A 26159-nucleotide genomic window follows, 5' to 3' on the forward strand; every position below is an offset into this window, starting at 1 on the left:
AGAACATCATACTAAGGTGATTTTTATATAAAACATTAATTCAGTATATCAATCAGTCACTTTAATAAAAATGCCCCTCATTATCCTGAGGTGAATAGAAGCCTATGGGATTAATTTGTGTAAATAGATATTAGATTAAAATGGGAACTTGCCACATAACAATAATCAGATAGCATAGGCAATCCAATCTCAGTGCTGAATCCAGTATTGTGTGTGTAGTTACCTTTTAAAAACAGTAACATGTATTTAACTTGGACTTGCTTCAAGTAAGCACTGCATCAGGCAAGTTGGATTTCAAATAAACCTTAGCAATTGAGGGGCATTGTCGTACTGGAAGTATATCTCTTCAAACAACAGCAACAACAGTTTTAGATATTTATTTTAGAGAAATAAAGGAGACAATCTGCAAGAGAAAAGGCAGAAAGTGAGGAGGAGGAGAGTACCTAGAATCCAGGTAGAGGGTTTATTTCTAGAAAAGCAGCGCCACCTGCTGGTGGACCTGCATGTCAGGCCCTTCTGCGGCTTGCAGGCCATCTGTCTTGCAATCTATGCATAAATACACAGCAGTATTTCTCAGCTGCTGTTATACGTAAGAATTGTATTACCAGTAGGCAGATTTCTAACACACTGGTTGTAGTTTAATAATCCTATATTACCTGAAGTATGGGTTATATAAAAACCTAGAATGTTAATTGTTGACAAACCAATTCTAATATGTAAAGCACTGTAAGTCACCCAGTAAATACACAAGTAAATCAAAAGGGATAGCTCTTTTTGCTCTAACAACGTGTTATTAAAAGCCACAACTTAATCACTTACATAAAAATAATGTTCATGAATTTCGATGTACTAAGAAATCAGGAAAATGCATTATAATCTTACTAACAGAGCTTTTCCTTCACTTACAATTTAGAGGAAACTATTTTGCAGAAAATATTTTTCCCTTTCTTTAAAAAATGTACCTAAACCAACATGCCATTTAGGAAATTTGCTCCTATAACAAAACCTAGTTACAAACAACTAAGATTACATCTATAAAATGTTATATTTTTAAAATAGCAATAGAGAAGTTGTGGAAAATATGTCACTGATACAGTGAGCAGAGAAACACTACCTGTCATTTTTCAGGAAAAGATCACACAAACGCGATAGCAAAGGAACACAATAAAAAGCAGAAACAGGAATGTGATAGGTGACTCTGATTGCATCTGCAAAGGAAACTGTGAAATAAATTAACACCCAAGTACCCAAGAAAGGCACATTGTGGCTTCACTGGAAGTGATCATTATGCAACAGAGAAGGTTGGTGATTTTGTAAGAACAGAAATAAAGTGTAGCCTGTGAAATCTAGTGGTGATAACTAATGACCATACTACTTACAACTCTGATTTGATCTCTAACATAAAAAAATAAAATAAAAAAGTACTCTAAAGAATAGATGTATGCAATAGGGATTGTGTTTCTCACTTGAAACAAATAAACCTCAAATGGGATCAAAGGGCCCCGGTAAATGAAAAATGACAGTTCCTATGTTGCCCTGATTTGATCTCAAGCAAAACTACCATGCTGATAACATAGCAGGGGATGTGAGGAAGGCAGTGGAGTTCTTGGATTGCTATGAAAAGGAGGCGAGTGTGTAGCCCATTCAGCTGATGGGAAGCCCATTCTAATTCCAAAAAGTTATTGAGATTTAATCTCTAACAACAACAACAACAACAAAATAACTCATGCGGCAACCAAAAGGGTATCCTTTAAAAACACACATACACAATTTTGTTATTTCCAATACATTCTGTAGAATCTCTTTACATTCAATTCTTCCATCTGTCTAAGCTGGGTAAGGCACATGTGTGAAGAGAACCAAATGTCACAATGCTTGCTTTGAGAACGAAGTGTCTCCAGTTATCCAGACAGGGAGCTTGACTAGGAGGGTCTCAGGCATAGGCCATGGGCATCCCATCTCCCATCTCAGCTGGCTACCACTCACTCTGGAGAGACAGGGTTTCCAGGAGCAATTCTGGACAGATGCAAAGGGTGAAGGGGAATCTGGTGGGGTTCAGGGCTGTCAAGATTCGAGTTGGGGGCTTACCCTGCCTAGATATAACTCCTAGTGTTAGCTTGTGTATTAGTCCAGTGAGATAAGGTCTAGGCCATTGGCTAGGGTCTGAACAATTAAAGGTGCACACCCTGCCTTAAATATCCAAATTTATTTGGGATAAATTCAAATCAATAAGGAAACATAGGTGGATGAACAGAAGCAATGGGTTTGCCATGGCTTCCTACCCCGACTCAAATACCCAATGACATATGGAAGGAGAAAACATCAGCACCCCCAGATCCACTACAGAGCCCACCATGTGCTGTCAGCAGAAACAACGGAACAAATGTGTTACCTTCAGAAGAAGCAGTGATCAATTTGAGATCAATCTATTCAAGAGTTGTCCAGCAGTCAAAGGAATTGGCTGTTGGCTGTTCAGAAACAAAGGTTCTGTTCAAGAAGGTATAAAGGAACAAGAAGGAAGAAAGGAAGATCTCTAGCCTTGAGACTTTTTTTTTTTTTTTTGCCTCTGGTTCAGCTTCTCATGAAAGACCTTTTTCCTTGAGATACATGCTTAATAAACTATGGAAACATATTGTCAACAGAGTTTACATGTTAATCAGCCATTTATTGAATTCACACTGTGTGTCTTGGTTACTGTGTGCAATATGCTAAGAATTCAAAGACCAATTTTGACTTCTACAAAAACCTCAACATAAAAACTGTCTAATGGGGTTTACATGAAATGTTACAGGCTTACAGAAAAGAGATTCACTTTTTCTAATTTGGTTTCCGGGTGGGCTAGTTAAGAAGGCTTCACAGAGATGGCAGTACTTGAGCTGTACCTTCACAGCAGAGGTTGGCCAACTTTTTCCCTAAAAGGCCAGATAGTAAATATTTTGAGCTTTCTGGGCCATACCCTTTTTGTTACAATTACTCAGCTTTGCAGTTGTAGCCTGAAAGCAGCCATGGACACTGAGCAAATGAATGGGAGTGACTATGTTACAAGGAAACTTTACTTACTACAATGGATGGCAGGCCAGACTGGGCCCATGGGACAGTGTGCTGACCCCTGCTCTGAAGGATGGGTAAGTTTTAATCTGCTAGAAGCAGAGAGGAAAAGAATCACAGTCTCAGGAAAAGGTTCCAGAAATGTGTAAAGTAATGAGAATAAGACGCTTCTAGAGAATTGTTAGATGATGGATGCTTATGTGGAGAACGGAACTAGGGAAACTGGTTGAGGCCAAACTGCAAAGGCTTTGAATGCCATTTTAATAGCAGAAAGTTGGAAATTATCCTCTTAAAAAACAAGGAACCATCAAAAGGTCTCTCTCTTTAAAATGGGATAACATGACAAAGTCTGTGCTTTAGAATACTAAAGTTGGTGGTGGTTTGGTGGCAAGAGGAACTAATTGAAAGGTTGAAGGGCAACAATGGCAGACTAGCTGAAGAAGAAATGAGCATGTGAGCTTGGCAGTGCCACTGGCAATGGTGAGAAAAGGTTCGAAATGTAATCTGGAGGCCAAATCAGAGGACTTGGCCATCGGTAGGAGGAAAGAGAGAGTGTTACAGGGTAAAACTCAGAATTTCAAATGTGCATATTGATACTCATTCCACTCATCCCTAGACCTATCCACACATCAGGTCTGCTGAAAGAAAGGGATAGTGGTAAGGCATGGGTGAAAAACTTGGGCCCAGTCTTGGCCTTGCTCCAAGCACTCATCTAATTAATTACAAAATCAACAAGAAACAGAGCCCAGCTACTCATAAAGCAAGGTAGGAAAGGTGATGATGTGAAGTCTCAACACCAACTGGACCTCAAAGATATGGCCAGACATGGTGGTGCACGCCTGTAGTCTTGGCTACTTGGGAGGCTGAGGTGAGAGGATTGCTTGAACCTAAAAGTTCAAGGCTGCAGTGAACTATGATCACACCACTGCACTCCAGCCTGGGTGACAGAAGGAGGTCCCATCTCAAAAAACAACAATAACAACAGAAAAAGATGAGTTGAGATCAAGACCATCATCAAAAAAGAAATTTTGATGGAATTTGAAAGGACAGGAATGTCTTCTTTCCCCATCTGTTCTCCTCTTTTTGTGTTCCAACTTTCCCTCCCTCTCCCAAAAACACATTGAATTTGCTGACGATCTCCAGACCTATTTTAGGGATGGACAAGCCATAAAGAAGGGGTTTCAGGGGGATGAGGAATGATGAGACCTGAAGTCACAGTTTTCTAATGATCCCAGGACCTAAGGATTCTAACAGCTGGGCTAAAATCTAAGACACACATTTATTTTCATCCATCAAATCTGTACTATTCCAACTAGGAAGCCTCTTTTGCCTGGAGATGGTGTCCCCGTTTGGCCCTATATGCTTCCTGCTACACGATTTCATTCCTGGAGACCTGGCAATAACAAAACAAGGTGTAACAAATATGATGAGGAGGCTCTTTGGGGAGGTCAACAGTTAGCATTCATTGTGGGAGGGCAGGGCCATTTGTAGAGACACTGCATATGAACTGGTCTGGGATAGCTTCAGTAGCTGACAATGTTCTGATTACTAATAACCCCCAAATCACTGGAGCATAGATAATACCAGGACCCCGGGTTAGGGAGAGGGCCTTTTTCTGTGCTTTCCTTGAGGAAAATAAAAGACACCTTGGAAGAAAACAAGCTGACAATAAAGTAGAAACCTGTAAGAATCTTCTGGGCTCTTTCGGTGTGTCCCTGTGCGCCCAGTTCCTGCCCTAGAAGCTGCGAACTCACAGACAGAAGACTAACACTGATATACTACGAGGTTTCTACACACATAATTGTTCCTCACAGGACCTACCACGATGTTGGGTAATAGACATCAGCATTTTAGAAGGATTTATAACAGTAAGGATTGAAGCAAAAAGGACTTTTAGCCTTTCTCAATCAGAAGAAGGAAGATAATCAGAGTCTCAGAGTTTAAAGGAAACTTAGAAATATGACCTTCCAATTTCCTCATTTTACACACAAATTTTGCAAGGCCTACTGGATAGTCAAGATGGAAATCAATGTTCTGGGGAGATATAGCTGTCTCTTGGTATTTTTGTTGGCTTATTTCTGTTGGGACAATTATTCCATGACCTAGAAATTAAACAAATTGACTCCATTTAACTTTTATAGTCTGTTATACTAAGCTGTTCAACTCTCAGCCACTATCTGTGGGCTTCTCTGCCTGTAGCTGATATGACCTCTTATAAGGCTAGCTTGATGACAGTCAGTCATTTGAAAAAAAAAAAAGCACTAGTTATGGTTAAAGTGGCTTATCATTATTATTTCCATCAATACTATGGGAGATGGCAAGCTTCTGATCTAGCAGTCCACTCATCCGCTATGTGATCTTGGTCAAGTTCATCTCTGTTTCTTTGTTAATTTCATATGTTAATGAAGGATGATAAAAATAATAATTCAACATATACCAGGCAATCTTTATATATATTCACTCACTGAATTCGTGCAACCACTCTGTGAGATAGGTCCTTATTATCTCCAGTTTATAGATGAGGAAGCTAAAAAATAGTGAAGTTCTGGAACTTACTCAAAGTCACATGGTAGTAGGACATGATGTCTATGCTGGGGATGCCTAGATGAAATGAGATGATGTTGGTGCCTTGAGAAGCACAAAGACTCAAACACACATAAGACATTACTCTTATTATAGCCATGAGCATCTACTTGGTGAACATGTCAAAGCATGACTTCACCAGGACTTACTTCCAAAGTTTCCAGAAAATTCACAGATCTCACCCTTGTATCTGCCTGCTCTGACGTTTCCTAGAATTTCAGGCTGTAATTGCCAACAAGATCTCTCAGTTCACTGCACAGTGAGGGGAATGGCATCAGAATCCCCTAACATAGAGAGGAGGAAATACAGGAGATGTCTGCCTGTTTCCCATCTTCATCTTAATAGAAGATGTTTGTGAAGGAGCAGTGTTTCCAGCAACCAGCCCCTTGCAAATTTCACATTCATGCCCTAACTTCCAGACCCTGTGACATGACCTGAGCCCCTTCCTCCCTGTCTTCATTCCTAGCATAGTTGCAGCTTTTATTTTCACCTAGCATCTCTCTTCTCTGCAGGTCATTGTGCATCCCTTCTCAGTAACATCTGTTTAGGGCTTTGGTTTTGAAGCATCCCTGCTGGATATGTTCTCTCAGTTGGATACGTTACAGGCCATATGTGGAAATTTACTCATCTGCACTGAAGAAATGGCCAGATCAGCCTTGACAAAATGCAGAGAGCATTTCAGAACCATTCAAAGGTAAGGGAATGCTTGGTGCAGCCTGAGAGAGCTTTGAGAACAATCAGGAAAACTCTTCCTTGGCTTGAGCAGAACAAACAGAATAATGGCTCCTAATAGGTAATAGCTATGAGACATTCAGCTTTTGGATACCTCCACGCGGGAGGAATCATTTGGGTGCTGCTGTTGCATTCAAGCTGCCTACCTCGAGTCAGAGTCAAATTACCCTGACCGCCATAAAAGGCCTCGAATGTTGCTCTACATTTGGGCAGGTTGATGTGCCCACCTGCAGATGCTGACACCTCTCTAGCTACAACAGACTCCTTTCCTCACATGAGCCCTGCCCAATGCATTGGTTTTATGCTGCCCTGACTCACACCAAAATAATCAGGTTTGCTGAAATTAATAAAACTGAATGTGAATGTCACAAGTCCTTGATTTTCCAGAGCAAATGCTCTATATGTGGTAGTAACCCTGCCACTCCTCATTGGAAGCATTGGTGGATTTTTGCCTATGTGGTTTTTTCTGGTACTTTGTTTCCAGATCTTCTTTCCCATAATTTATCCTTCACAAAGAATATCAATTGCACCTGCCATTTGATCATTTTCTAGTTCCTTCAGTCATGTCCTTGTTCTTTCTTACTACATTTTTCCCTCTTACTCTTCTTGTACATCCCAGTTTTTTATGTTTACATATATATACTATATAGTAAGTTGCTGCTTAGAAAGTTTTGGGAAGCTTCATGGATCTAGGGCGATCTGGCTTCTAGCACATCACCAATTCCTTTAAGGGTTGGGAAGCCCTTCATTTATTCATTCTTTTACTCATGAAATATTTACTGAACTGGAATCCTTCAGGCCATTTCCTATTCAAGTACTCTTGCCAATATAGGAAGCCCAGCCAAGGATGTCAGCATGCTACATTTTTGACCTTGGAGGGAGGGAAGGCAGCCCCTGGGTCCTTTCTTGACTGAGTGTGATCCAACAGGCTCCAGCCCAGAAAGCTGACATTGGCCAAAATGAAGATCATTTTAATGCAAGCAGTCAGCTCCCTTCCCAGAAGATAGCCCATGCTCTATGGTGTGCAGATGCCCATCTATGCACTGTCGATACAGCTGGTGCAGTGCCAGCTCTAGGGCTGGAGTCTTTCTCACTTCATTTATAAGTCTCTCAGTGCAGTCGATCATCCCTAATGCAGATCTGCCTCAAAAGATTCCATTTTCTATTTGCATAGGGTTTTCTCTGCAGCTCTAGGAACATTTGGTGGGACTCATCTTGCGGTATTGAAGGGGCTAGAATGAAAACTTTCAGATTTACTAGAAAAGGCTGGGGGAGTTTTTTCTTGCTGTTTCCCTTGAATATGAGAGATTAGCTCCCCCTGAGGATGACCAAATGAGATGGTCTGAGAAGAAAGGCCACTTTTGTTAGTCCTGCTCATCTGAGCTGGACATCAAAAGAATGTCTCCTCAGAATAAAAATCTGTGGGCATGTGTAGCAATCTCCCTCCAAAGCAGGCACTATCTAGCTATTTACAGAAAGGCCTTTGCAATTCCCTCTGAGATTTCAAATGCAAGGGTCTGACAATGCTGGATTTAGCTCTGTCCATTTAGATTCCCTTTGGGAAAAAGGTCAGCTGGGGAAGCAGAACCCCTGTAAGCAGATGTGGCGATGGAGGGTCCCCTGACTATCCAGGTAATTCAACAAGCTGGTTTGGGAGAAAGCCCCAGAGAGAGAAGGACAACACACAGCTGGTTGGCTTGGTGCATTTTGCCACATTGCACTTCCAGAAGTTGGCATTCTCAGCATGCACAGCCTACCACCATGAGGGAACCCAGGACTCAAGTGCTTTTCCATGCAGTTTTAATGACCCCCTGAGGTCAATGGTGTACACAAATGCCACAATCACGGATGCTGACATAAGTAAGGACACAGACAAAGGTCTTATGCACAAAGCAGTAAAACCGAAAAGAAAATTGTGCATGATACTTAGAAATGCCACATGACTTCTTTAGGACTCTGTGTGGCAGTACTTCACAGGAAATGTGTTTTGTATTTCCACTCGAGAAGGTTAAGTGTTTGAAAACTACAGTGGATTTTCAGTGAATGGGATGTGAAGCACTTTATTATTTTCCCCCCATCGATGTAAGGAGACATGCTGACTTCCTGAGAAAGGAGGAGAAAAGTCTCCTTGCCATATACAGGGATTTAAAGAATAATTCCCATGAGCTCTAACTGAAGCTACCACCTGCAGCTGGAAGCAAGAGCCTCAGCGCTGGCCAGCTGTCCCCACTGGTGGCTCCCACTTGCTTTGTGTCTGCTGCTCAGCCTGAGCCAATACTTCACACCAGCAGGTGAGAGCTGCCTGCCTGTCACCTTCAACACACTCAAGATGTAAGATATATTTGAACTGGGGAAGATGATGAGGAATAAGGAAGAAATAATGGTTAGGAAAAGGAAACAGAAGCAGTAGATCCCCAAGGCCAGTGGTAGTGGATGCAGCCGAGTGGGTCTCCTAGTCCTGGGTCAGGGGTCAGGAAATCTTCCTCCAATAAGAAGGAAACTCTAGCAAACCCAGCTAGGAATCACAATGGCTGCCAGGTCAGCTGGGGAGAATTAGGCTCATGGAATTCAGCTGCTCCAGAGCCACTAATTAAACTGTCTTTTAAAGACTGTAACTTCTTGGATTTGCATCTGGGCAATGTGCTTCACCTGCAGGGTCCTGCAGACTATAGATCAAGTCTTCCTTCTGAAGGCTTCTCAGAACAGCTGGGGCCCGCCCACAACAGGCTCCCCTCTGTTTGTCTCCTCCCCGAGAGGGGGGCTTCCAGCTCCCCTCTAGTCAGTCCCTTCCTCCCCTGCAGCCACAGCAGCCCTCCCAAAACAAAGCCTCTGTTAGGTCACTTCCCTGATCAAACACCAATATGATAGTGTCGCACTGTCTAAAGACTTTCTATCATATTACAGACTAAGAACAAAACCCTTGGCCTGGCCCCTGCCAGGAATGGGGCCCCATTTTACCCTTCAGGGGGGTCAATTCCCTGCATGCTAAGTAAGTCTTAAACTCTAGCCAAATTGGGTGGCCAGCTGCTGTGCAGGAGGCCCCCCCAGGACTCTCTACATTATCTCGAGGTTTCATTACCAGAATCCTCACTTTTTTCTCCTCCCTTGGAGATTAAGTGACTTATCCATCATATTCAACTGCAAGAGTAACTGAGCAACTCAACCGACTCCACACTCTGTGGAGCCACACGGCCTGTGTTGAAATCCCAGCTCCACCAGTCACTGGCTATGAGACCCTTGGCAAGTCATGAGACTGTGACATGAGGCTATGAGACCCTTGGCCAGACTCACTGGCTATGAGACCCTTGTGCCTTAGTTGCCTTATCTGTAAATGGGGCACATTGCAGATGTCTCAGGTTATAGTTGCCTCAACTGCAAACAGCAGTTACCACATAATAAGGGTTAAATTAATTAATATTTGTGGTAATAGGGGGAGTAGTGCCTGTAATGCAGCAAATGCTATATAAGTGTTAAATTTAACAACAGCAACAACACATACACACATCCTCCCTGTGTACTCAGAGTTGCTTGCACACAGTAAGAGTAGAGACTACACTAATTCTAGTCGTAACATGAATCCAAGTTAACCAACTAGCCATTTCTTAGTAATGCTGTGTCAACAAGTCTCACTCCCTTGGTGATGCAGTATACACAGAATATAGATCTCTTTGGGGAGTGACCCCATGCTCAGATAAGACTAAAACATGATGCTAGCCTCAAAAGAGAAACATAATTTTTCAGCAAATGTTGGTAGTATGCCTCCCTCTGTCTCTCCTCACCAATGAGCATGACCTGCTTATGATTACTAGGTCCACTCCATTCTGGTTTCCATTTTTGGCTGCTCTGTGCTTGCAGCTTCTAGGCTTCACTGGGAGTCAAAGATCCCAAATGTTAAGATCGTTTTGAAGAGCATGCTGGCAAATGTCCTAAATGTGCTGGGCCAGATGACAAGCATCCATCTCCGATGAAGGAAGTATCCAACTGAAATGATGGGCACCATATGAGAAGGAGAATCCCAAGGCATGATGGAAACCACAGGTGCTGCAGACCCACTGTCCGTTTCTGTCTGGATGGGGAAGGAAGGCAGGATGCAGTGAAGCCTGTGCCACTGCCCCACAAGCCTCTCTCGAGTGACTTCACACCATTATTGGTCTGATACTAATTTGAGACAATACCCAATCACATCACAACAAATTAGCCACAGACACGTGATAGCAATCAACTCAGGGGGCGATCCTGAATGCGGGCTGGGGGATTCTCCAGCTCCGTGAGCCGCACGCTCCCACAGATGTTTCTAAAAGCGTCTTCCCAGAGGCCCATTTAGAGAGAAATTAAATGCAACTTCGACTTAATTAACGTTTTAAATGATAATGAATACAATGTAGATTCATAGGAGGCATTTACATTGTGTTGTAAAATTGATAAAAATTTAATAACTCTTTGTTAATAAGTTATGTCTCCCCAGACCCATAAAGCCTAAGGCGCTGCAAACTCCACACTGGGTCTAATCGAGGCTCCTGGTGCAGGTGGAGGAAAGAGGCAGAGACGGACTTGACATTTGCTCCAAGCCTGCTCTAATTCAAACCTCTGCTTGTTCATCAGTACTTTATTTCATACAGTAAAGGTCAGGATTTGGGCTCAAGGCAGAGCCTTGACAAGAAAGCTCAAGTGGAAGGCGGGCTGGCCCTGGCATCTGTCGCCTGAGATAGTGGAGGAGGATGGAAGATGAGGAGCTAACTGGCCACATCTGCCCTCCACCATGGAGGTAAGAGGAAGCATTCACTGCCTGGTGGTAGAAGCTGTCAGGATGAGTATCCTGAGAACCGGCCACTGTCCTGAAATAAAAAAGCAAACATAATTTCTATGTCACCTTGCATAAGGGCCTCTTCTGGGCTTACATGAGGCATGCCAACATCTTTTCTAGTTTGTCCTTAAAGAGCCGAGTCATTTATTACAGCATGGTGTCCCTGGGAAGAAAGGTGTCCCATGATGGGGTATACACAAAGGACCCTGTCAGCTTCCCTCATTCTGACCTTTCTCCTTCTTGTTTCCCAATCCTGTTTCAAAGAATTTCTTTTGAGAAGTTGGCTGCCTTTTGCCTACTGTTCCCGTCTCCTTTCATCTACCTGCAGTACATCTTCATAGTGTATTCATCTTCAGGAATTCAACCATACTCTTTTTTTGGAAGGTGGTGAAAGCACAACAAGGTCCCCAAATACAAGCCAGTGACTTTACCTGACACTCAACTGAAACAACCAGCTATTTATTCTGGAGAAGAACCCAGTGTGTTGGGAGCTCTTGACAGATGAGCGATGTAAAGGATCCTTCTCAAAGGCAATTTTGCCCAAGCATGATTTCTGCCTTACAATGCTGATTTAAGAAGCTGCCCACTGCACAGAGTGAGCTAAGGCCCACAGTAAGGCATATTTCCAGTCAACCTATGGCTCAGCGTGGCTATCACAAAATCAAGCAAGAGGCAGTGGCTTCTGTAGCCTCACCTGCTACCAATAAGAGTGTCTTAAGAAGCCCCTTCCAGGCCCATCACTAGGTCTTAGTCACAGGGGATGACCCAGTGGCTGCCTAGGCCGATCTGCCACTCTGTTTTTACTTCCTGCAATGAAGTACAAAGGGTCAAATCAAGACGCATGGGCCAGGGTAACTAAAGAGCCAGGGGACAACCCAAAGGCTCTGGTAGTGTTTGGTGTGCACATGTGTGATGGATATTGACACAGAGAGAGAGAGAGAGCGCACTCACATCAGCACGGCAAGCATGGGAAGATGGGAGAAAATGGAGACTCAGACGAACAGGCTTTAAAACTAATACATGAAAAACTATGATCACATCGATTCGTGCTTATTATCCTTGGCTCTCCTTTTTCTGTCTTTTTCTCACTGGTAGTGGTGGTGGAAAGAGGGGAGTAATTGATTTTAGGGCCCAGAAGTAAAATAAGCAAATAGAATTTAGGTTTGGGGAATTTGAGGAAGTCACCTAAAACTGCACATAAAAGGAATGAGATAATTATAGGCTGTTGATTTTTAAATGTAGCTTATTAAATTAACTCTCCTTTAACAGGCGTTGGAGACTGTCAGGATAGGGTGTGTCCTATTATAGACATTTTCCTAGAGCTGTTTCCACCCCCTGCCCTTGTATCTGATTTTATGTACTTCAAAATGCCATTAGTTCACTTAAGTGACTTTAGTTCTATTGACAATGTTAATTCTCTGTCTGCACAAACCAAAGGCTACTCAGGATAAGCTGATTTTTGTTTATTATCTGACAAGACTCGATATTACACTAAACTGATTTTGGTACGTCTCCCTTCAACCTAATCATATTGGACTTCTCTCAGCTTAACCATCGGAGTTGAATGCCTTCTTGTATTATATTTATACCCAAAATAAAAGTCATGTGTAATTTAAAATTAGCTACAGTAGTTTGCAAAAGGCTGCATGTAATTGTGCAGGTTTAAACAATTAGTAAATTGAAAGGTTGGTGTGAGCAATCACACATGTACTTTAGCTAAAGCTGGTTCCAAGTGCAAGTCTAAAGGTCTGCTTCTCTTCTACCACAGGATTAATTTGTTTGTGCCAGAGTTACTGATGCTTTGTGACTAGAATCATGTCAGGCAGGTCTCAGCAGGTCTGAATCAGTATGGCCCTACGTTGCCACTGCATCATAATTTTAATTGTCCCTTTCTATTACATTTAGCAATCAGATAGCAGGCAAGACTGAAATAACAAGAATAAACTTCTAAAGAGAGAGAAAGGTCCATTTTACAAAATTATAGTGGGAAGAAATCGTACTGATTGGAATCTACTTCTATATTTATGTGCATGTGTATGTTGCTAGACATTCATTTTTTACATTTAATAGTACTAGAACACAGCTACTTGTGAAAAAGCCGAGGCCCATACCATCCTGATGTCTTTTGAGAGAGCTGGGACTCTTGCCCAGGACCATCTGAAGTGGAAACAAAACCAAGATGATCATAAAATGACACTCTATGCACTGATTCTAGCCTACCATATTGAACATTTCAGTCTTGCCAGAAATAAAATCCTTTTGTGATGAATCCTTATCGGTCACAATTTGCCTTACTTTTCTGACACCTTTTATTTTGATTTTTGTCTTTCCTAAACTAGTCCTTCCCCTCTGAAGTTCTTTTGGTCAACACAGTCTGGCCTTCCATCTCCTCCTGAGTTCAACAGAAGACAACTATCATAATAGCACATGACTCAACCGATCCACAGTAATGGGCCACACCTCCATAGAGGGGTGCACCGAGCAGGCAGCCCCTGTTGTTAGAAGGCAGGTTTTCAGAACTGTGTGAGCACTTTTAATATATTACCATTCCTCTGGGAACCAGCTACTTCTCTTCCCACTTCACAAAACACATAATGGGACTTTGTGTTTCAATTTAACATCCCTTGAAAACGGAAATTTTTCCCCTTATAAGAAAAAAAATAGAGTAAAGAGGGAAACGAAAGGAAAGAGAGAAATGAATTAGGCAGTCTCCAAAGCACACTGGCTCAACTGGGAAACTGCGACCAAAGCAAGCTCCATAATAGTATAATGACCTTTAATGAGTGTCTTGGGAAACAATACAGCCCTAGCATAAAAGACAAAGGGCAAAACTCATCATGGCTCTGCTGACACTAATTCAAAATGATTTTCAGAACAACTAAAGAATGTAAGAGAAGTAATCTGATCCGCCCATCTGACCTCACTTTGATTCAAGGGCCCTTCTCCTGCCATTTCTAATTGTCAAACCCTCTACATTTCACATCTGTTCATATTTAATGAAAAGCCCACTCTCACCACTGCTCTTGAGTCAACTTGCTCTGTCAAATGGGCACCACCCAACTCCACCACCAGCGAGGGATGCCTGGGGATTGCTATTGGAGCACTGCCAGTGGAATTTCACATAGAGACAGACATTTTTATAATTGGAGAAGAAGGGCTTATGCAGGCCCAAAAAGGGGCTCAAATTGGAATGGATTTTTCTAACTTATTATTAATGGTCAAAGGTGAGTGGTCTCACACAGGGATGGATGAAATCTGCTTTTGTTTGATGGAGTGATGACGGCAGGACGACTGATGAAACGGAGAAGGCAAATCGCCCCCTGAGCTGTCAATACCAGTTAAGGCTTCAACACGCAGCCCAAAGCTCCACGTGTTCCCTGGTGGGGGCTGATTTTGGAGGCAAGGGAGGGACAACATGCCACTCACAGAATGTTTCTTAGAGAATGGGACAATCCCACCCCAAGGTTTTCTTCTCCCTGGTCTCCATCAATGGTTGGATTAAATTGCACAGCTGAGAAATCCCTCTAATTAAGATTTCTCTTGGATATAATGGAAATTACACACACTGGGCACCATGGGGTCTACATGGGGGACACAGAGTGTGCTGTGATTGGTATTGTTGGCCAGTGCCAAGACATGACCAAGGGGCCCTAGCTCAGAGCCAGAGTGGCTCCTTTCTTTTCTCCACTGAGTCTAGGCTAAGGTTTTAGAGCCTCATGATTATTTGAGAACAGAAGTTGTGCATTAGGCAGAAGAGTAACCCGGGGGCTTGTGGTTACTTTCACCACCATCAGTCAAAGAGATGTGACCAATTCATGCCACCTCAGGCCCTCCTCTGCTCTTCCTCCCCAGCACCTATCTTTGAACTTGGTGTCTTGCTGCACATCGTAGACAGACAAGTTCTCTGTGCAGCTGTGCCCTAGCTTATCTCTGTAATGGCATGCAAACTACAGATAACTCTTCAGGGGAAAATAAAGTGATAAGGATTCATATGGTAGCATCTAAGGATTGTAACAGAAATCTTTCCAAGATTTTAGGCCCATATGGCAGTCCACACTCCCTCTCAATGCAACCTCCATTAGGTATTACTTTGAAGTGAATCCTGTCCCTTGGCACTGCTCTGGAGCAGCAGGAAATCGTGAATCAGAGAGAATGACTCTCTGGTCCTAGATCAAAGTTTTCCAAATGCCTCTAATATGGCTCGATGCACAAATCATGCTTTGCACTTGAACTTTGGGCCCAAACATAAGCACCTGGCATGGCACACAGTGAAGTCCCGGTTCCCTGAGCCCTAGAGGCCTCATGGATCCCGGCTACACAGCCGCACTCTGCTGGGACCAGCCTCAACACCAGCACAGGGGAGTCAAGCCAGTTCATTTTCCATGGGAATAAATGCTTAAGAGCTCAGTGATCTTCTTCCTCCTGTCGTCAGTGTACACCTACCCCTGCTAGGAAAGTGTAGCTCAACCAGCTCTGAGCACTTGGAAGGTGAGAGGACAGGGAGCAAGAGGTTAGCAATATATGTGTTGGCTGCTTTAAAGAGGAAGGGAGGAAGTGCAGAAACGAGAACCATCTCCTACCTTCTATGCTACCAAAACATGAAAACAAAGTTATAGTTATACTTCAAGTAAAGTCCTCCAGTGGAACCACAGCCTTTTCTGCACTTGGACCAAGACCCACAGTCCCAGGGTCTCAAACTGGAGCTTTCAGGAACTTCACTTATGAACCGTATCAGGAAAACAGCAAAGTCCATGGGGAAGCAAGGATAAGGGAGGTCTCAGGAAACTGGCACATCTCAGCCTTGCCAGCTACCAGCTGCATAGCCTTGACAGGTTCTTTAACATCTCTGAGCTTGTGGATGACAAAGAAGACTGACATCAGAGGCCTGTGCTATGGACTCAGGGATATCACAGAGGTTTCTGACTTAAATTTTTTGTTGGCATTTGGAATCACAATTGCTGCAAGATACCTTAGTTAAACAGGGGCTATACTATTGGAAAAATAAAAGATATTAATGGAACAGTCCTTCAAAATAGTCATCATTCTGAGAAAAAGCTCTGTAATCCACTAGCCCAGTGCAGGCTGACAGACATAGAAAACTCGTTTCCAGAACAAAAGACAAAATCTGGCACTGGAGGAATGAGGCACAGGTTAGAGAGACATAGTAAAAAGAAAATATATATATATATATATATATATATATATATATATATATATATCCATCTGCATCAAAACTCTGTTGTATTTTGGAAACTATCTAAGAAACTATCTAAGCTCACTAAAAGCAATTCAATGCTAGAGCTGGCTTGTTCTCGCTACACCCTTTCCTTCCTCCCTTTGATACAATTCAATTTACAGCCATTTCAAAAATATTAACATGTACACTTCTGCATATCTCTGTATTAATACAGTAGGTGATATGCTGTCACTTTAATTTCCATTTATATTTATTTAAAGGAGAGAGAGGAAAGATATCACCAGACTGTAATATCACAGTCCTGCATGCTGTTACGAGAAGCGTAAGTTAAGAAAATCAGAAGGGAGGCCTTCCTAGGCACGTACACAGAGACATAGGCAGCTGGGGCAACATGTCAGCACACAGGAGTTCACACTGGGAAGAAGACATCAGCCCGACTGACTCAGAACCACAGGGCACAGCACAAGACAGGGATGATACCACAGACAGCACAAACATGGAACTACGTGTGTTGAGGTTAAACTTACAGGCACGGAAACTGGTGGAGCAATCATTAACAGAGACAGAAGAAAGTGGGAAGGCTCTCTCAAGGGTGTCCACGTTACCACGCACACGGCCTGACATGCATGAGCAGTCACGCTCAGAACGTCCGCAATCAAAACAACATGCCCGTCTCATTCTCTTGTAGATGGACATCTTGGCTATAACCGTGTGGTTGGATGGGAGGAGAGGAAGAGCGGCAATTAATGGCAAGGTCACACACAGCAAGGCAGCTGGAAGGGAGCTGAAGGGATTTAACACAGGTCTTAGTTCACTTTAACAGTCTTGACCCAGAAAAAAATGCAGAGTGATTGTTGGTAACAGTTTGGTTGTACATCAAAAAAGCAGCGAAAATATAAATTGCCTTTATCGTCTCCCAAGGCTGTTGCACATGATTTTTCTCCCCTAGGTAAAGCGGTGACCACAGGAAAAGGGCATGGCTGAATACACTCGGGTTCTCAAATGGGAAGAAGAGCAAATTATCGACAGCAAAAAACGTAACCAACACTTTTCCCCTGATATGATTAATACAGGAGGACAAAATATACACACTGCCAATCAATGAAATTAGCTGCTTATTTGGTATAATAAATGGTTTTTGCAAGATGCAAAAATATCTAATATGTAGGCTTTCTAATTTCCATCCATTTCTGGGCATTAGGCAGAGGCTGGGACAAGCTTTCATCAAATTAGATGTGAAACGATTACGTGTTAATACAGTATCTAAGGATGCCTTTGCTGAACTTCCCGAGAGTGAGTTTATATGATGGCTACAGGAATTTAAATTTACTCTTGACAGAACAAATATCCAAATCTGTCCATATAAGAAATGCAGCTACTCAAGACTAACGCTGCAGATTTGACATTAAAGGCAGTTCACAAATAAGAAATCACCAAAAGCATATGAGATGTTGCTCTATTGGAATGCATTTAGCTACTCATGGGTGTATTTTCTGCTTAAAGCTGAGAGGATCTGAAAATCGCATCTGCCTTTCTCTCCCCACCAAATAGAAATTCAGGAAGCAATCAGGCTATTGGTTAATCATATTATTTCTTTTTTCCTTATACAGAAAATATTCGCCAAAATCGATTAAAACTGACAAAACATGAAATAGAAGAATAGGTTCCACGTGAAATATCTTAATGCAATTTGCATGCAGCATTGATAGCTCTTCTAAAGCTGGTATGGTAGGTTCTGCACTGCCTGGGGATCCAAACTGAGTGGTAACCTATAAAAGTTGTTGGAAGTCAGCATCGTAGTTTCCAATGCCCTTCACCTTTGCCTTTCAAGCCAATTTATATTTCAGTACAAGAGAAGGTTTTTGTACCTCATTTTGATGCTACAACAGGCAAACATGTTTGCTTATCACTTATCATGAACTGGCCTGCTTCTCTCACGAGGTGGGAGAAGAATTCACATTTATTCTAAGCATTACTGCCAAATGGTAAACCTAAACTGAGGAGGTGTTATTCCCTGCACCCACACCTTCCATTTTGAAAGTCATTTCCCCCACTCTTTCTTTTTCTTTGTAGAGAATGGTTGCACTCTTATTTTAAAATATGGCTTGTGGTTTTGCCCTCTTTGAATGTTACAGTCACCAGGAAGAGGGGTTTAAATCTCTCAAATGGGTCAAGTCCTGTTCTAAGACCTTTATGACTTGCCATACAGTATATTTGTCAAGCAAGGGTAACGTTATGATTGTGAAGAACAGGCACTGGGGGAGATGAATGAGAGATCTCTTCAGCAGCAACTCCATTCTTGTAAACTTGGCTCACATTTTTAGTGACGTGTTCTTTTAGTGTCCTAGCTAGTCTGTTGTTCAGATCATCATGCAGCCCCAGCCCTGTTCAATGGTGGTATATCATTCCTTTGAGCTTTAGCTTTTACCAAAAAAAAATAAAAAATAAAAAAGTTCCACTATAGCATTTGAATCAGAGGAATTTAGAAGGCATGGTGTGAATGCCCAGACATCCCAAACAAACAGCAACGGCTGAAGTCAAGAAAGGGAAAAAAGTCTTCAATTAAAGACATGAACATAAATTTATCTTAAATGCATCCGGATCTGGCATACAATCTGCAGACATTCCCTTGTTTTCTCTTTCTTATTTCTTTTACTGGAAATATTGATTTGTTATTTACACAGAAGAGGGAAACAAGGATGATTTTTTTGCTTCACCGTAGATAAATCATTTTGAAAAACAATTTTTTTAATCAAATGCTGTAGCAGAAGAGAAGCCCATCAAACTCTGGAATGCTATGCTTCTCATTAGCAACGGTCCCTGGTTTTCATTTCCATACTGCCATTTTGGGTTTATGTACAATAATAGAATCTGACACATTTGTGGAGAAAGAAAGTTCTTATAAATATACCGTCTTTAAGGATAAGGGGAGGGATGATGGGGATGAAATAACTTTTGAAACTATTTGTTCAGAGGCAAACAGATCAGAATGGGTGATGTAAACCTCCTCCTTGATATGAGTTCAGGAGGAAACACAGTGACAAACCAGTGGCTCTCAGGGACTGTTTGCAACTGTTATTGTTAGCCGTTCTGGCGACCATGCATTGTTCTAAAATTTCTTATTGTTAGCATGCAGGAACAGGCTGAAACTGGTAATCGAAGCAGCAAAAAACCATGTGCTATAAGAAGATTAACTGTTAATTATAAGCAGTCACATTCCAAAGCAGCATATGCATAAAAAAGAAAACATGCTATTACTTGTCATTCCTTCCCAATCATTTTTACACTCACACCAAATGCAAAATAGAAATCTCAAAAGACAAACAAGTGCCACCACACACACACACACACACACACACACACACACACACACAAAATCAGCAAGAACGATCAATGAGAGGCTCAAAGACAAGACAGAAACAGTTAAAAACTATTGAGCCCCACATGTTGACAAACCTTCATGAATCAGAATGTCTAGATCAAGGTGCCACCAACTGGGAAGGTGGCTCTTTTTCGCTACTGCTGGCATAGTCCATTTCCATTGACTCCCTGTCAGGTATCTTCACCTAGAGACTTCTGGGTCCACTTTCTTAAAAGGTAAGACCTCCCATCTGGTGGAGCGATTCATCAGGCTTGAAGGATATGAGTACTGGCCAGGAAGAGCTCTCCTCTGGGCCATTATACAAATCATGAACAAACTCTTTAACTAAAAGCTGATGAGGAGTTGTCTCCCTGGTGGTAGATGTTCCAGAAGAATTGAACACTCTCTGTGTAAAATTATACTCTTAAGTTGTAAAATTAAATTATATCAAAGTTAAGTCATGGACCTCCTAATTTGGAAATTACCACCCCTCATCTCTCTCAACTCTCTCTGGCTTCCTAACCCTTCAATTTTGTTACAGTGAATCATGGATATTCAGAACCACTGGTGTTTTGTTTCCATTTCTCAGTGACTGTTTCCTTTTCTAGAGCTGATTTAGGTTAGAAGGTTAATTTTAGATATGAAGAGTTCCACTTTAAATTCCCAAGGTTAGGTCTCAAAGTGCAACTTTGAAAATTTCAGGATTTATTTCAAACAGAAGTAAGTTTCTTATCTACTCCCTGGCCACACAAAGCATCCTCTCTCCTTTGGTGTTTGCTAATTTTCTTTCTTACGTAGTCACCCATTGTTCCCTTCCCAAATCCCAATTCTCAGACAAGGTTTTCCCCAGGATGTCAATGGTAATACAAAGTAGATCTATGAGGACATCTAGTGGATCAATGTGGAAGAGCAGCTAGTTCATGGGCAGTTGGAACTAGCCTTTCTCCAAAAGGAGCAGAAAGAGGACCCTGCTGTCTCTGAGAATTGAAATATATGCAGTGTCATTTCAATTCAATGGCTTCTCATGATCCACAGCAGATGATTAGGGGTAGGGGCAGTGAAAGGGTGAGAGGTCCTAGGAGATGAGCCTAGGGTCTGCAGCCACAGCTGGCACAGGAGGACTATTTCAGTGGCAGCTGACTGCGTCTCCTTTTTAAAGCCCTGCTGCAGCTTCCTGAGACTGGGAGCAGACAAGAGTGTGTCTCTGGCAAGTGTGAACACCAAAGCTACTTGTCATTCCATCTTAGGGCTCTTGAAACTTCATGCTCAATTAACTGCCCCGATAGGCCAACTTAACTCTAGGAAAGCAGAAATACAAGGCTCTAGGGACTCAGTTTACCCTCTGGTTCACATCATAAGGTTCTTGTTATTGGACCAGGGCCATGGATTCTATGAGGTTATGTGGTTGCTAAGAATTTGACCCTGAGTCTCACCTTCCTCCGAAGACCTAGGTCCTGGCAGTTTCACAATTTGAGAAAAAGCTTTTATGTGCTTTTCTTCACCACAGTGAAGTGGATATTCAACCAACATTTCCATCATAACTTCATAGTACTATTTACAGAGACAAAATAGAAGTATTTCCCTAATGGACATCATCAAAACTATTTGTTTACTCTTGAGTGTTTAAAACAAAAAGGCTTCTCAGAAGTGTTCTTGGACAACTTTTCCTCTATTCTCAAAGGCCATGATCATGAGACCAGAAACCTGTTGGAAAGTGGCTGGTGAAGATGCAGCTCAGTTACTGCTCTTTCCTTGAGTCAAATGGATAATCAGCTGTCAAACTCAGGTTCTCTGCTGGCTGGCCTTTCTGAGCCAAGCCTGGAATGGAAGGAAGAATTGGATTCCATCCTATCCTCAGCACCATCTGCCACCTGCATCAGCAACCAAATTGTCAGCCAATTTCCAATGCAGAATCTTAATTTCCAGGGTGGATTGGAAGAGGCAGGAAAAAGCAGTACTGGACTGAGGGGCCCAGGTGGAGTTTTCCAACTGCTGGGGAAAATGTTTTAGATTTCAAATGGAGCAAATTCAAGGGAAGACTGGGATGGAAGAAAAAAAACATCTGCCATTCAATCAATAGATACTTTTCAGGTCACAGCCTCACTTTTAAAATCAGTCAAATGAAGGAGGGATTATTTCCAAGCAAGAAACATGGAGCTACTCTTCATGGGCTCTGCAGCAACTAACGTTACTAATAAAAATATCCACGGAAGAAAAAGTCCACCAGGATTTAAGGTGAGGCCTTTGATGTGGCACTGGGAATCAGAGAATATTCTTTCAAGTCCTATAAATGAGAAATGATGTCTTCACTTAGCAAAATTCCTCCCATTACCTTCTGGAGTAAGAAGAAAGGTCTTCCAGGTGGTTTTCCAAAAACAGAGGAGAAAGAAAAAGCTAGTTAATGTCAGCAGCACAGAGCACACTGAGCTAGTTGATTCTGCCCCTAATGACTGTATTGTGGCTGAGGAAGGCAGAAGTATTTGGCACTAGAGTTGTTGGTTGATTGACACCACATTTTCTCTCCAATTCTGAAGGACCATTCAATTTAGTATGCAGCTCTGCAGGTATGAAAGTGGGCCATGCCCTCAAGCCATGTTTAAAGGGTTCTGTCGATGAAGAAAGCCACAGAGTCGATTTTGGCAAGACTGTGCATTGAATTGAAGAAGGTCATCATTGTGTTTTGTTTTTAAAGTGAGCAATCTATACCCTCCAAACACTGATGACTAACCAAAATCAGATGATCAACTTGCCTCTTTTGCTGCAAAGGAATGAGGGGACTGAATTTGAAACATCTTCTCCAAATTCCAGAGCCATTGGACTGAACTGTTCCACAGATTGGGTCTCCTTTTCAGTAGAGCCTTACAAACATGAATAAAGACCCAAAGCTCAATGCTGGCCTTAAAAGCTCCTCCTCAATGGCCACATCTTGTTGAGTAAAAGGGCATCCTATTCCTTGAGTAAGTTAGAGGTTCAGACACTTGTATTGACTTGTTCAGACTTATACATTGCTCATTGCTGAAATGGAATGTTCTCCTCCAGTCAGCTTTTCTGCCTTAAACAGGTAAAGGGATCTTCCAAGATGTCTGACTAACATTCATAAAGCAACTGGGTGTGTCCTACTGAGTACTGACTAAAAGAAAAACTTTGTTGTAAAGCAAGGGAACTTCATAGACTGCAGATAATAATTACCACTGTGCAAATACTTGTCTCCAGTAAGACAATTGAGATACTTACAGTCCCAAAGTTGAGTAACCAATTAATTATCTAGCAAGCACTTCTCATACAGAGAAGCATGTACTGCAATAAATACATCACTCTATGGAATATCTCTACTCTTATATGTAAAAATATGAATTTTTACATATAAGAATGTACATATACTCTGATACATCATGGTACATATTGTGTGTGTGTATATATATATATATATATATATGTATCACAACATGGGAATATATATGTGGCATATGTGTTTCCTTTAGGAGAGGAATCCAAGCTCAATAACAAAGGAGACCAAGTATAATTTATCAAAGGCAAGCATGACAATTACCCCAGCTGATGAAGCATCTGGAGTTATAGTGGTAATTACTTCAGCCTAATCAGTGTCCCTTAAAAGTCCTGAGACAAGGCCTTCAAGAGAAACACACTGTTGTCAAGGTCTTATTTTCAAATAGAAAAATAAGACAGTGCCCGAAGCTGGCCAGAGCCCGGGGACTGGGGTGGATGGATGGAGAGCAGGCTCCCTGGGGACTCTCTGGCTCCAGGCTACTCTGTAGACTGCATTGGGGGATGAAGGAGTTGGGGCATGATGTCACTGCTACATGCAACATAAATACCAAAAGTAAAAGGGAAACTAAAACTGTACAGAAAATTAAAAGAGTATCTCTTCTAGAGAAAGACAGGGGGAACTGGACTCCGGGCTGCTGGGAACCCGTTTTACTCACAATATATCACTACCAGTGTGCAGTTAAAATAGAGTAGGGGCCGTATTCCAAGGCAGCAAAGAGAAAAAAAATAAATCAAAGATATGTCAATGATTTGAAGTCAAAGAAAATTCCTTCAAACACATCAAACTAGACATTACTTGTCCACTAGGAGTCCACACTTTGGCAAACTTTTAGAGTCTGGGGGAAGAAATGTAAATCATTAGACAAGGTTTGTTATATAGAAAAAGAAAATGAGTAAATAGTAGACCCTGAGAACTTGCTCCTCGGCCAGACAGCTGAATTTGACTCTTTTCCTTGATAGAGAGCTATGAAGAAATGGAAAGAAATGCAAACGTTAAACTATACTATCACAGGATTTCCAGAAATGGAATGTCCGCACCTGATATTTCTCCGGATGAGATGACGTGAAATGTTGAAGGTTACTGAATGAAAGTGAATGAGGAGCTAGGGGTGGAAGTGAAAGGGGAAGGCTGGGTTGGGGAAGGAGGGTTAGGAAGCTATGGGTAAGGGCCAGTGACTGTCATGAGCTCTGCCCTCATGGGATCTACCATTCCAGGGTGAATTATTAATACCTGGACTAACACGTTTGGACAGATGAGTATGTGGGTCAGCTGTCTTCTCCAACTTAGAGAGGGAACCAAGCAATGTCTGTTCGAAGGCATGGGGGTCCCCCCAGTGTGTTACTAATAATCCTAGTTTCTTCTAATTAAAGTTTCTTTGCAACTAAAACATCTTCTCCAATTTCCTCACTTGCCTGACCTACATGGGGAGGTTTATTTTTAATAATTCATTTTATTCTAACCACCCCCTCACCTCACACACACATCTGCATCCTGCCCTCTGTTCTATGGCCTTTTAATTAGTAGGAGCAATATTCAGACAATTCTGATTGTTACATAGCCAAAGGCCTTTGTGAGATGAAGAAGCTGAGGTTGGGGGAGGAGGCACAGGGATGTACAGAGAAGGAAGCGAGGCCCTTGTTACACTGGCTTGGCTTTGTAGAGGCAGGCCTTTTGCAGCAATTGGTGCAGTGCATAATGGGAGATTATATACCTCACTAGCTCCACCAACTTTAAAGGAAATGAAGAGAAGAAAATTATTTCAAACAATTATGGGCCTCTCTCTCCAGGATGAAGCTAAAGCCTGCTGCTGTTTACCTGTCTGGAACCAAGGTGGAAAAATACCCTAGAGGCCAAATCCTTATTTCTTATTTCTAGGGACAATTTAGTCTGCTGTGTTCCACTATGGCGTCCTATGAGGGACATTCCAATGTCAGAGCAAGAGTCAGAGAAGTTCTCACTTCATCCTTCCACTTCCACTCCTTCCTCCCGAGAATGCTCTCCATCCAGACACCAGGGACATCTTTTAAACTAAGAACTAATGATGACATTTCCTCACTTAAAATCTTCCAAAGGCTTCCTAATATAGGACTAAAACCCACACTTCTTACCACGTCCCCTGTCTCCGTCTCTAATCTCATCTCATACTACCCTTTCCCCAGTGCCACTGGCCTTTCTTCCATCCTTCAAACACCACAAACTTATTCCTGCCTCCTGACCTTGACCTTTGCTCGTCTCCCTATCTGGATTGGGTCTTGGCCTCAACATCACCCCTGACTGAGGCCTTCCTGACCTTCCAAGCTATAAAGTAGCACCACTGCAGGATTCCTCAACCCTCAGGCAGTCTCTTCTCTCTTCTTAGCACTGGCTATCTCTGAATTTATTTATTTACATCATCATGGTTTGTCTCCATTCACCAGAGTAAAGGATTCAGGAGGGCAGGGACTTTACCTTGTTGACCACTCCATCCCTGAAACCAAAAATAGCAGCTCATCCAAAGAAGATACTCAAAAATATGTGAACGGCTAATCAATATGTGAATCACAGTCTTGCTATTTCCTTGATACTCTGTGGGATGAGGGTCTGGCAAATATCCTGTCAGGGGTTATTGGCCTCACCTTTCCTCCCTTTCCCAACCCCTCACTACAAGCGTTTCTTTACAGAAGTGTTCACCTCTTGTATTTGTTGTTCTCTCTTATTTCCCTCAACCCTCAGACTGCTGTGCTCCTTCTGATTGAAATGATTCAGGAGATGTCTGGTCAACTCATCCGTGCTGCTGTGTCCACAACCAACTAAGCATGGCTGGGATGGACTGCCTGGTGAAGAAGGTCTTTGGATTCATGGGGTCTGTGGGGGTTGAATGGGGAGTGAGGTTCATTCTAGGCCTTGTTCTCTCTTAGATGCTCTTCTCGGTAGGTTGTCAGAATCGGGGAATTCTTGTCCCAAGAAATTAGAGGCTCTTGTTTTGAGATATCAATAAATACTCATCTCGATAAGAGTCTGGGGGAAGGGGACCAGCTGTATTAAGTCAGTGGAAACAGGGGGAGGAAACCCATGGTCCTAAGCTGCCCCACCCTGAGGGGATTTCTGCAGAAACTTCTCTAGACCAAGAGTGCACCCCAAGGGAATTTTCCCCATGGGTTGAGGA

General features: G+C 42.3%; 1 protein-coding gene across 54 annotated transcripts in view, besides 1 other annotated feature; it reads right to left on the reverse strand.

The window, feature by feature from the left end:
- KCNMA1 (potassium calcium-activated channel subfamily M alpha 1) overlaps positions 1-26159 on the reverse strand; it is a 768207-nt gene that overhangs the window by 114914 nt on the left and 627134 nt on the right. For 15 of the 54 annotated variants that reach the window (XM_024447984.2, XM_005269781.3, XM_024447987.2 and 12 more), the window contains one exon: positions 16892-17065. The exons of 33 other annotated variants lie outside the window; for them this stretch is intronic. In XM_024447984.2, coding sequence (XP_024303752.1) covers positions 16892-17065 — 174 coding nt within the window. Of the gene's footprint in view, positions 1-16891; positions 17066-17936; positions 23679-26159 lie in introns of those variants that run through there. 6 more of the 54 variants (NM_001322829.2, XM_011539785.3, NM_001322830.2 and 3 more) reach the window with 2 other exon arrangements.
- Positions 23643-23702: an enhancer, noted in NCBI's record as "active region_3609". NCBI's record gives its function as "activates an Ori minimal core promoter by ATAC-STARR-seq in GM12878 lymphoblastoid cells {active_cell/tissue: GM12878}" and the evidence as "EXISTENCE:reporter gene assay evidence [ECO:0000049][PMID:35858748]".

The sequence above is a fragment of the Homo sapiens genome, chromosome 10 (assembly GCF_000001405.40).
Source record: "Homo sapiens chromosome 10, GRCh38.p14 Primary Assembly".
NCBI classification, from domain to species: domain Eukaryota; kingdom Metazoa; phylum Chordata; class Mammalia; order Primates; family Hominidae; genus Homo; species Homo sapiens.